At 37.4% G+C, this 12,123-nt stretch overlaps 2 protein-coding genes across 9 annotated transcripts in view; one reads left to right on the top strand and one right to left on the bottom strand.

Annotated features, from left to right (window-relative positions):
* Positions 1–12,123, top strand: part of HPS3 (HPS3 biogenesis of lysosomal organelles complex 2 subunit 1) — a 44,095-nt gene that overhangs the window by 25,657 nt on the left and 6,315 nt on the right. For 3 of the 5 annotated variants that reach the window (NM_032383.5, NM_001308258.2, XM_047449064.1), the window contains 7 exons: positions 2,056–2,237; positions 3,372–3,552; positions 4,752–4,985; positions 6,854–7,039; positions 7,396–7,584; positions 8,548–8,655; positions 11,740–11,946. In NM_032383.5, coding sequence (NP_115759.2) covers positions 2,056–2,237; positions 3,372–3,552; positions 4,752–4,985; positions 6,854–7,039; positions 7,396–7,584; positions 8,548–8,655; positions 11,740–11,946 — 1,287 coding nt within the window. Of the gene's footprint in view, positions 1–2,055; positions 2,238–3,371; positions 3,553–4,751; positions 4,986–6,853; positions 7,040–7,387; positions 7,585–8,547; positions 8,656–11,739; positions 11,947–12,123 lie in introns of those variants that run through there. The other 2 variants (XR_001740328.3, XM_005247834.5) reach the window with 2 other exon arrangements.
* CP (ceruloplasmin) overlaps positions 7,120–12,123 on the bottom strand; it is a 59,416-nt gene continuing 54,412 nt past the window's right edge. For all 4 annotated transcript variants that reach the window (NR_046371.2, XR_427361.4, XM_006713499.4 and 1 more), the window contains 2 exons: positions 10,652–10,756; positions 7,120–7,581 (listed from right to left, as the gene is read on the bottom strand). Coding sequence is in view for 2 of the 4 variants with exons in the window: in XM_006713499.4 (XP_006713562.1) it covers positions 10,665–10,756 (92 nt within the window). In the remaining 2 variants the exon portion in view is untranslated. The remainder of the gene's footprint in view (positions 7,582–10,651; positions 10,757–12,123) is intronic.

A 12,123-nucleotide genomic window follows, 5' to 3' on the forward strand; every position in this document is an offset into this window, starting at 1 on the left:
TACATTCAGGATGCCACAGCCATTCAGCTTCCTGGCTCTGTCTGACAGTGGAATGTATATCTCTCTCTGCCTCCTCATTGTTACAGCTTCTGACATCCGAGGAACCAGTAGAAATTCCCTTCACTAGCATAAGACTCCCTTATTCATACCCACTCTCCTAAGAAGATCGATTGGCCAATCTGAACATAGTCTTTGACCTTAATTTGAACTCTAGCAAAGATAGCTAAGAAATGGAGCAAATAAATAAATAAATAAATAAATCTAGGATTATGTATCCCTGTCCCACTCTTCTTATTTAGAAATGTTAGCACATTGTCCCAGGGCACCACAGCTACTGCAGCATTGTCCTGGGGGGAGGGACCCAGAGGGAGCATCCTTACTGATCTAAGAGTGACAGCTTCCTACTCATCCCTGGCAATTATTTTAACTCTTTATTTTGAAACAATTTCAAACTTACAGAAAAGTTGCAAGAATAAGTATATTCTTCCCAACCCTTTGGGAGGCTGAGGCAGGTGAGTTGCTTGAGGCCAGGAGTTCGAGACTAGCCTGGGTAACATAGTGAGATCCCATCTGTACAAAAAATTAAAAAATTAGCCAGTTGTGGTGGCACATACCTGTAGTCCTAGCTACTTTGGAAGCTAAGATGGGAAGATCACTTGAGCCCAGGAGTTCAAGGCCACAATGAGCTATGGTCGTACCACTGCACTCCAGCTTGGGTGACACAGCAAGACCCTGACTCTTTTGACTCTTTTTTAAAAAAGAAGAATATTCTATATATTCCCATTCCCCACACAGATTTCTCCACAGTCAACATTTTACCCTATTTGCTTCTCTCTCTCTTTTATGCACTCTGTGCTTTCTGTGCACACAGATATACATACACTGTTTTCTGATTCTTCTTCGGGAGGTAAACTGCATACATCAGTCTTTTGCCCCTAAGTACTTCAGCGTATATTTTCTAAGAATAAGGATACTCTCTTGCATACCAGAATACAGTAGTATGCTTTAATAAATTTAACATTGACACAGTGCTTTATCTGGTTTATGGTTCATAGTCTAATTTTGTCAACTGACCCAATGGCTTGATAGCATTTCCCCTTCTCCAGTTCAAGACCCAGTCTAGGATCAGGTAGTGTGTTTAACTATGATGTCTCTTTAGCCTCCTTTGAAGCTGGAATATTTCTATAGCCTTTCATTATGTTTTATGACATGAGCATTTTTGAAAAATATAATTTTCCCCTCTACTTTTTTTTTGAGAGTATTCCTTATTTAGGGTTTGCTTTTTTTTTTTTAATGGTTAGATTCAGATTATGCATTTTCAGCCAGAATATTGCATAGGTGATTTTTGTGTTAAGGGTATCACATCTGGAGGCACATGCTGTTCATCTACCCCTCTTTGGTGATGTTAATTTTTGGTCATCAGGTCAAGGTGTTGCCTGATTTGTCCCTGCCAATAATTTAATGCCAATTATTATATTAGCTGTGCCCTGTCTTTTCAGTCTTGCTTAATTGAAAGTCTTCGTTTAGGTGATTTGACCGCTAGAGTCTGAATATATTGATTGAGTCAGATTAGCTAGTGATAATTTTTATGAGCCCTCTATGAGTTATGGAAATAGATGTAGTAGAGCCTAAACTTACCAATCAAAACTAAAATAAGGGAAGAATACTCAGTCTAAATTTGAGAAAGAATTAAATCACAATTTTTTGAAGTTTATTTCAAATATTAACATGTTCACTAGTCTTACTGAGATCAAATTGTTGCTAAGTTTACAGTATTATTAGTATTACAGTATTATTTGGACCTCTGTAATGATTAGAGCTGTTTAACAAGGTATTATTTATAATCATGTATGTATTAAACTGGCTCATAGATGGTGGGAAAAAAGCCCTACAGCTAAGCCCTTGTCAGAATGGTGAATAACCATTTTGTTTACTTTTAGGGTTTAATATGTCCAAATGTTAACTTTACTAACAAAATATATAAATGTTTTTAAGAACTCAGGAACTTTTGAGAGTCTCTCTTCAGCAACATTAGTGTTTGTCTTTTTTGTTTAGGTAGACTATAGCAATACCTATAAGACTGTCAAAACCCAGAGCTGCATTCACCTTCTCAGTGAGGCTCATCTGTTAGTGCGAGCTGCCCTGATGGATGCCAGTCAGCTGGAACCTGGAGAGAAGGCAGAGCTTTTGGAAGCATTTAAGGAAAGCTGTGGGCACCTTGGGGACTGTTACAGCAGGTGGGTGACACCTCTTGGAACCTTGTTACAGAAGTCATCTTGAACTTTGGGTACACTTGTTAGCTTTTCCATCTCTGGTAGTTACCTGATAAATGGGAAGGTGGTTCATTTATTCCCTTCTTCCACAAGCATTTGTTGAGCACATACTCTGTTAGGCACTGTGCTAGGCTTAAACATACAAAAATGAATGTGACCCATTTCCTGCTCTCAAGGAGTCACAGTTTAGAAGATGAGCAGTAAGTCTCAAGTTTGTGATTTTCCCACCATTTAACTTAGGACTTTGACATTTTTCTCAAGCTTTGAAAATCCCTGACATTAAAAACATATATTTTGTTAGTAAAGTTAACACTTGGACATATTAAACCCTAAAAGTAAACAAAGTGGTTGTTTTCCATTCTGACAAGGGCTTAGCTGAAGGACTTTTTTCCCACCATCTATGAGCCAGTTTAATACATACATGATTATAAATACTACCTTGTTAAACAGCTCTAATCATTAGAGAGGTATGACTAGTTTATTGTCTGCTACCTTAAGGGAGAGCTGCCAGTTGGACAGTCTGTGATTTTGATCTCAGTAGTCAGTGCTTTTATGATATCAGAAAGGGACACTGGTATGAATAATGTTTTTATTTTTGAGAGTAATGTTTACAAATTTTTTTGCATATGATTGTTTTCAGACTTACTTGATCCACATGAATGGTTAAAAATTAATAAAACAGACTTTTCCTCCTATAAACACCATTATTTTAGAGTCCGATCATGAATATTAGAATTAACTTAAATTGTTGTTTTTGTTTCTATTATGAGCAGGCAAAAAGAAACTGCATTAATTAGAAGTTTGTAAGATAAAACTTAGGAGTTTGTTTCAGTTACTAATGGCAGTAGAAAAGCATTTTGGAATTTCTATCTTCTGGAAAGCATGATATATTCTGTTATAGAATGTTTTAGATATCCAGGTTTAAAAATTCCAAATTTGACTAGGCATGGTGGCTTACACCTGGAATCCCAGCACTTTGGGAGGCTGAGGTAGGATAATCACTTGAGGTCAGGAGTTTGAAATCAGTCTGGGCAACATAGTGAGACCCCGTCTTTAAAAAAGTGACAAATTTGAGGTTTTTCATTTCCTTCCCTTTAGGCTTGACTCCCAGCATTCTCATCTCACCTTGCCATACTATAAGATGTCTGGTTTGTCTATGGCTGAAGTTCTGGCCCGCACGGACTGGACAGTAGAGGATGGATTACAGAAATACGAGAGAGGATTAATCTTTTACATTAATCATTCACTTTATGAAAACCTGGATGAAGAATTAAATGAAGTGATTATAGTTTTCTGTTTTCTATCTAATATTTTTAACATTTCATTTTAATGGTTTATTTTATGTAGTACTGTTTAGAAGTCAGATTCCAAATATTTTTCTTCTTTGATACTCTTTTTCTAAAAAAGTAATGTGACCTTTTCTTCATTAATGAAGATAGAATTATAGCTTGGAAAAGAACTTATGGATAATCTTCTCATACTTTCTCATTATACAGACAGGGACATGTGGTCTGTTGTAGTCTCAACACCTGCCCAGTGACAGTAGCATGTCCTCAGTAGAGCTACACAGAATGCGGGCCTTGCCTTCCATCTTCTCATCTGCAGTCCTTCCCGCAACCCTAATTGTCCCTTACTCCTTGTGTCCTAAACTTCACTTATAAAACTCTGACCTTAGGCCAGTGACCTAAAGACATTATTAAGGATTATTTTTAGGGCTGGGCACAGTGGCTAGTATCTGTAATTCCAACACTTTGGGAGGTTGAGGTGGGAGGATCACTTGAAGCCAGAAGTTTGAGACCAGCCTAGGCAATATAGCAAGATCCCATCTCTACAGAAAATTAAAAAATTAGCTAGGCTTGGTGGCATACACCTGTAGTTCCAGCTACTCAGGAGGCTGAGGCAGGAGGATCGCTTGAGCCCAGGAGTTTGAGGCTACAGTGAGCCACAATTACACCACTGCATTCCAGGCTGGGCAATACAGAAAAACCCTGTCTTAGAGAGAAAAAAGAAACGATAACCCCTCATGTATTTTATACATAGTTGGATGCAAATATGCCACATTAGAAATTGTGGTATCAAATGTTTTAAGGTTTTGAAATGAAATTTTCTCATACAAATTACTTAATTGGGTATATTTTGAACTAAATAGTAGTTTTTATGATGGATTTTTATTGTCATTCAATCAAATGTTTATTTTCTTCTTCTGAAGTGTTAAAATTAGAAACGCTGGCCATAACCTGGTACATATTTTCATTGCTTTTTCTTCCTTATAATCAGCAAAGATCACTTCAGGTTATCTCAGGCCTCCCATGTATTAGTATCAGTTTTTGTCTTTTTAAAATTAAAACATAATACTATAATTTTATCTTACTTGGAATGTTTGTGTCTTGGCTTTTTGCACATATGTTTTGCTGATTTTGTTGCTTTCTTCTGGCTGACTGACCTTTTATTCCTTTTATTCCTTCGTGCTCACCAAAGGAATTAGCAGCAAAAGTGGTTCAGATGTTTTATGTGGCTGAGCCAAAGCAAGTGCCCCATATTCTCTGTAGTCCTTCTATGAAGAATATTAATCCTTTAACTGCCATGAGCTATCTAAGGAAGCTGGATACTTCTGGGTTTTCATCGATCTTAGTGACATTGACCAAGGCAGCAGTGGCTCTGAAAATGGGAGATCTTGACATGCACAGAAATGAAATGAAAAGCCATTCAGAGGTATGGAGCTCTGCCCGGTGCTAACAGAAGGCTGAAATAGGACCTGGTAATCCTGAAGTGTTTAGCTGTCTTCTGGCTTCTTTCTAGCTTATATATTCTTGGTTGTAATGGAAAACAGACAATATTAGAAACAAAGTGATCCAAATGGGACTTCGGATCTGGCAAATGAAAAATAAATAAGACTGATAAATGACAGCAGTGGATATACAAAGACTTCAACTTAGTGTCAAGTGCGTTCAGAGCACTGAGCTTGGTACTAAAGAACAGGCTCTGCTCCGAGGGGACGATGTGATCTGGCATGAGGGATATGGTGTGTGCACTGGAAAAGCAGAGTAGTATGTATTTAAGAACAGCAAAGGGGATATTAGCCATGAGCTTTAGGAGTCTAGTAGTTGCAGAAATAGCCCCCGCTTGGGAAAATCACAGATTAAGAGGATTGGACATTTGAATGGTATACCAAGAAACACAGGCTTTCCCTTGGAAAAGAGGTCATTTAGGGACACTACCAAAGGTGTTAATCATTTAAGCGAAGAAAATAGGAGGTAGTGTAATTGAACACTTATTATTTACCAGGCCTATTCTAAGCTCCTTGCATATATCATTTAATTCTTAATACTGCTATAGGGTAGGAGTATTATACAAATGAGGAAATTAAGACACAGAGAGGTTAAGTAACTCATCAGGATCACACAGCAGTTAAGTTGTAGAGCCAGAATTGAATCGGGCAGCCTGATTTCAGAATCTGTGCTCCTGCACTGTTTTCTTGCCAGACTGGCCAAAGCCCACAGTATGACTTGGGTTGCTAAAAAAGGAAGAACGTAAGTGCTTTATCACTATACAAATGACATGCTTTGTTATGATGAGGAGAGCAAGTCAACATCGGAATGTCTTCTGTTTTGAAGAGTAGAATTCTAGAAAAATGAATTTTATCTTCATAATTTTGAAAAAACTTAAGATATATTAGTCATCACTTGGTATTTATGGGAGATTGGTTTCAGAACCTTCTACAGTTACCAACATCCACAGAAGCTAAAGTTGCTTATATAAAGTGGCATAGTATTTGCATATAACGTATCTACTTTCTCCAATATACTTCAAATCATCTCTATATTACTTATAATACCTAATATAATGTCAACTGCTATGCACATAGTTGTTAATACTGCATTGTTTAGGGAATAATAATAAAATCTGTACATGTTCAGAACAGAAGCAGTTCCCCCACACCCTTTTTTTTTTTTTTTTTTTTTTTGAGAGCCTCGTTCTGTGGCCCAGGCTGGAGTGCAGTGGCGCAATCTCAGCTTACTGCAACCTCCACCTCCCAGGTTCAAGCGATTCTCCTGCCTCAGCCTCCCAAGTAGCTGGGATTACAGGTGTGTACCACCATGCTTGGCTAATTTTTGTATTTTTAGTAGAGATGGGGTTTTACCATGTTGGCCAGGCTGGTCTCGAACTCCTGACCTCAAGTGATCTGCCCTCCTTGGCCTTCCAAAGTGCTGGGATTACAGGTGTGAGCTACTGCACTCAGCCATCCCGAATATTTTTGATCTGTGGTTGGTTGAATCCATGGGTGTGGAACCCACGAATACAGAAAATTGACTGCATTTTCAAATCAAGTAGACCTAAATATAAAGCTCTCTACAAAAAATAGGACACCTTGATTCTTAGTTAAATGTTAGTAACTTCTGTAAGACAGTCAGTGGTGTCCTTTGGATAAGAACTAGCCTTTATAGTCAAAGAAAAAATTGTGATTAAATTATTAATAGCTTAACCATGCATTGTGAATGCACTAGCATGTTTAGTATTTCTAAAATGGACAATCTAAATACAATGTACCTTTTGTTCCTAAATTTCTTTCTTATCTGAAGATGAAGTTGGTATGTGGCTTCATTCTGGAACCTCGGCTGTTGATTCAACAGAGAAAGGGACAGATTGTTCCAACCGAGCTTGCACTTCACTTGAAGGAAACTCAGCCTGGATTGCTTGTGGCTTCAGTTCTGGGCTTGCAGAAGAACAACAAAATTGGAATTGAAGAAGCAGATTCCTTTTTTAAGGTTTGTCACTTTGAAAATGTGATTTTTCTGGATGGCCTCATTAAATTGGTGGTGGGGAGGGACAGAATAAGAGAAGTGAGTTTTTCATTTGTTTGTTTATTGAAAAAACAGACATACATAATCAGTTTATAAGATAAAAGTACTAATTAAAAGACTATATCTGTAGAAACTTTATTTGTACATCCTAGAATCTGTTTCCTTTTAAAAATGTCTAAATTTGCTTTTGCCATGGCGCTAATGCTAATGGTAAATTATTGATTGCGTGGCCCATGTGATGCTGTGATATTCAGCCCAGCTGTCGCTTTATCAGTGCTATATTTATCTGGAATATAGAGGCTCCTTTTACTGTTTTTAAGGTGCTTTGTGCTAAGGATGAAGATACAATTCCTCAGCTCTTGGTAGACTTTTGGGAAGCTCAGCTAGTGGCATGTCTCCCAGATGTGGTACTTCAGGAACTCTTTTTCAAACTCACATCACAGTACATCTGGAGATTGTCTAAGAGGCAGCCTCCTGACACCACACCATTGCGAACATCGGAGGATCTGGTAAGATAATGGAATAATACCTTAAATTTAACTCATGCATTGCCCATTACAAAAACATACCTTATTTTTAATAACTTATTATAAAATCTAACCTAGTTTTCTATTACCAGGTATCTTATTTATGCAGGAGTTAAAAATACACTTAAAATTTGTCTTTAACTGAAGTGGCCTACATTTTAAATAATTTTGTACTCTAAAGAATGTCCTCTACTTATTAATGTCCCTCACTTAATTGCAGTGGTAGCTCAGTTGCCAAAGCATGGAGAAAGGGACTTCTTCCAGAACATCACCTCATCTGTCCTTCCTCAGCAGAGGATCATTAAGTGGAACATAAGAGAGAAGACATCTGCAGACCTCCTTGGTGGGAGAGGAACTGCAGAAGGCTGTGGGAGGGAGACTGCCTTAGTGGGCCCCCATTTCCTGTCTGTTGCACATACAGGAGCTGTTCTGTGGCACTTGAGGCAGCCAGTAACAACTCTTTCTACCCTTCTTGCTACCGTTCTTGCTCCTAGCCCATTTCTGTCCTAGCTCATTAGCCATGGCTAATGGAGGGTTAAGTGGAGAAGTTACCAGCTTCTTGAATAAGCAGGGCTTCTTGGGGATTGTCTTGAGAATTTATGAAAGATATTTTGCCTTCTAAAGAAAGTAGTATTAATAAAAATTATTTCCAATATTCTTTTTAGGTATAATTGGCTTAAATGCAGTATTGCTCTTTTTGCTAGAAAGTGCCTCTTTGGAGTATTTACATTTTAAAATATAAGGAAATATTTAGTGTAGAAGCAAGCAAGACTGAAATATTTTCCAGGGGAAAAATTCTTAAAAACTTTCCTTCCCATTCCCAGGAAAGTATATACCTAATTCTATGACATGGCAGAGAATTAATGATTGCTTTGCTCTTTGTGGAATGGATAAGCAAGCTTTTGTTGTTATATTTTGTTTATGAGAAATTCTTTTATGTTTTAGATAAATGCCTGTAGTCATTATGGCTTAATTTATCCATGGGTTCACGTCGTAATATCATCTGATTCTTTAGCTGATAAAAATTATACAGAAGATCTTTCAAAATTACAGGTAAGTAAAAATACCTCCTTTTCTTATGAAATTGCATATTACAATATAGTGTAAGATTAAATTTGCTGAGACCCCAGGTGTCCTGTTAATCTAGAATGTAGAATTTTGAGGGACAAAATCCATAGTTAGGCATACTCAGGAGACTTGGAGGGAATGCCTGCCTCTGCCTGAAACTGATGATGGTTGGAACACCTGTGCTGAGCGGCTGGTTTTGTTGTAGGTGGATGAACGAACTTCACCAAGTCTCCTGGCTGATTTCCTCATTTTCAGGATGGGCTTGAAAACACTTTGTGAAATGAAAGTGTGGCAAATGTTTAGTGGTGTTTTTATTGATGTAGTTTGTTTTTGTTAGTGTTGACTTACACATTTTAGGTCTCTAACCCAAGCCAGGCACTGCTATTTCTCTTATAGGAAACAGGTCAAAGTAGTTAGTTTATCCAGCTCCTGAAAAGGATTTTTCAGAAATGAGGGGGATGATTAGAGAATGTGGATCATCCTTTAATAATTCTGACTGCAACAGTGTTTTGGCTGGCAGTGAGAATTAAAGTCCACATTTGACTTGGTGGATCAGGCTGGGCCACATGAGCATATGATTTTATTTAATGTAGTTCAGTGGCCCAAAGAACGAATATAATTCCCACATCTGTTTTCTTTGGTCTTCCCAGTGTAGGTGCTAACATACAAAACTTAAGATTTCCTATTAAGAATTCTGAGTTTCAAGTCACTCTTGAAAAATTTAGCAGCTCCGTTAACCCAAGGCCCTCATTGCTTCTGACCTGAGGGTTGGGGCTGACCCGCAGCCCCTCCTTGGGCAGTGCTCACACTGTCCTCCCGCACAGTTATCATCTTTGTGGCATCCTGACCCAAATGCTGAGTGTCTGTTTTCCTTATCCTAGCTGCCCTCATGCATCTTCATCATTTGATTGGCCTCTTTAGGCTTTTGAATTTGCAATACCTCATTTACACTATGGGAACTACACTATAAGTGTAGTTGTTACTTAGTGTCAAATTGGGAATGGGGCTTAGAGGAGGGAAGCTGAAGAGGCCATATTGCTTAGACTCAGCCTTCAGGTGGGGCTGTGGTGTTCCCAGAGATGGCATTATTTATGTGCTTCTTTAAAAAATAACCAAAGAAGATTCTTCTTGTCTCTTGTCTCTAGTACTATTGTGATACAAAGGCTTCTGAGGGGCTAGCCTCAGATTTTGTTCATTTCACGAATATTGCTTGAGCATGTGCTGTAGATGTATGGGGAGCATTGGACAAGACAGATGGAGCTTTGCCTTCCTAGATCATACACACTAATTACATATTTAAAATTGTAATTGGAATAAGTGCTATTAAATTTTCCCTGATAAAGCTTTAAAGCATATTTATAATCATTGCTTGAAAAAGTATAATTCAGTGATCTTTTAAAATTTGTTTTAAAATATTTTAAAAGGAAAATATTTGCTATTAAAGGAGGAAAATCTTTGCTATTAAAGGAGCAAAATCTTTGCTGTTGAAGGAGAAACATAGTCTGCCTAAACTTTTATAATTTTTTTTTTTAGAGAGACAGTCTCACTCTATTGCCCAGATTGGAGTGCAGTGGCAGTCATGGCTCACTGTAACCTCCAACTCCTGGGCTCAAGCAAGCCTCCCACCTCGGGTTCCCAAAGTTCTGGGATTACAGGTGTGAGTCACTGCACCTGACCTTACTTTCAAACTTCTTGATTACATGGATAAAACTAAGTAAAAGTTCATGGGTAGTTGAAGTTATGACTACTTTCATTTCAGTCATAATTTGGTACACATGCTTTGCTCCTTCCTACTGCCCCCACTCCCTTCCCCATTATCTGGATTAGTCAAGAGTTAAATATAGAGGTAATCTATTTTCTCCCATGTTGGGAGACCTTTTGAGTGAGAGATTATCAACCTTATTTCATCTCTGCCATCTGATTGTCAGGAAATTATTCACATGAATAATTTATTAAACTTGCAGGAAGAAAAGGTACCAACCTTATTCTCCTGGTCATTCCTTGGTAGATATTTGGAATAAAATAATCACACTGACTGTGATTGGGTAGATCACATTCCATATTCTCCTGTGAGTCTCAGAAGATGCTGTAGCAAAAAGGGTACAGGGACAAGAAAATTAGGACATGACCATCTCATCTTTATCCTGGAGAAAGGGAAAGTGGAGATTATTTTGGTGGTAGAATCAAAAGTAGTATTTATAGTTTAATTGCTTGAAGTAAATATTGGTAAAGTTGTAAATTCTGAGATAATACTGCTCCCTGTTATTCATCTTGTGACAAAGTGGTATTGATAACAATGATTAGTTCTAAACAATCACTTTAGTCTTATTAAGTGTTAAATTTTATTTTTGCATATGTATGTAGCACATGCTTATAGAAAATTTGGAAACTACAGGAAGGGGTGTAAAGAAAACAAAGAGTAGGCTTTGTTGTCCCATCCTGTGTGCTGTTTCAAATTGCCATGCTCTTCCGACAGTATTTCTGTATGTGCATTTACCTATGTAGATTTTATAAAACTGATCATGTTCAGAATATAATTTTGTATTGAAATTTTTTTACTCATTTTATCATAAACTTTTTTTATTAACTAGCCTTTGAAAACATAGTTTTGATGGCTGTGTAATGTTCCATTATCTGAGTGTGCCATATGTATTTACTCATCCTTTGTTGTTAAACATGTAGATTACTTCTAAATTTTCAATATTGCGAATACTCTTGCGGTGAACATCATTGGACGTAAATCTTTAACCACAATGTTGATTATTCTCTTAGGATAGAGTCCTAAAGAATGCCCATTGGTTTTAATTTGCAGTCCACACAAAGCAAATAAAATCATGTTATTTAAAAATGATTGCTTTCTATTAAAGAGATCTTTAAACTAGAGGTAGTTTCAAGATTATATTATACTTAGATTTATTAAATAAGGACCACGTGCATGTGCTCTAATATGGCATTCTTTCTATTTTATTTTTGGCAAGTGAGGTTTAGTCTTAAGAAATTGAATTCTGCATGTTGTGTTTTAGTTTTTGAGGTGCCTCATTTCATAACATTTCACTTTTCTGTTCATAGTCTCTTATATGTGGTCCTTCATTTGACATAGCTTCCATTATTCCGTTCTTGGAGCCACTTTCAGAAGACACTATTGCCGGCCTCAGTGTCCATGTTCTGTGTCGTACACGCTTGAAAGAGTATGAACAGTGCATAGACATACTGTTAGAGAGATGCCCGGAGGCAGTCATTCCATATGCTAATCATGAACTGAAAGAAGAGAACCGGGTATGCTTTTTCAGATTATGTTTTTAGGCTTGATCAGTGATAATCAGATCTGATAACCTCATTTCCTTTCCTGCAAAATGGGGACAATTTATGCTAATCCAACATCATAAGGCTGTGTGGGTCCATTGAGCATATATGTTTAATATGTTACGTGTTTTGAGTACTATTAAATGCTGT

The sequence above is a fragment of the Homo sapiens genome, chromosome 3 (genome assembly GCF_000001405.40).
Source record: "Homo sapiens chromosome 3, GRCh38.p14 Primary Assembly".
Lineage (NCBI taxonomy): Eukaryota > Metazoa > Chordata > Mammalia > Primates > Hominidae > Homo > Homo sapiens.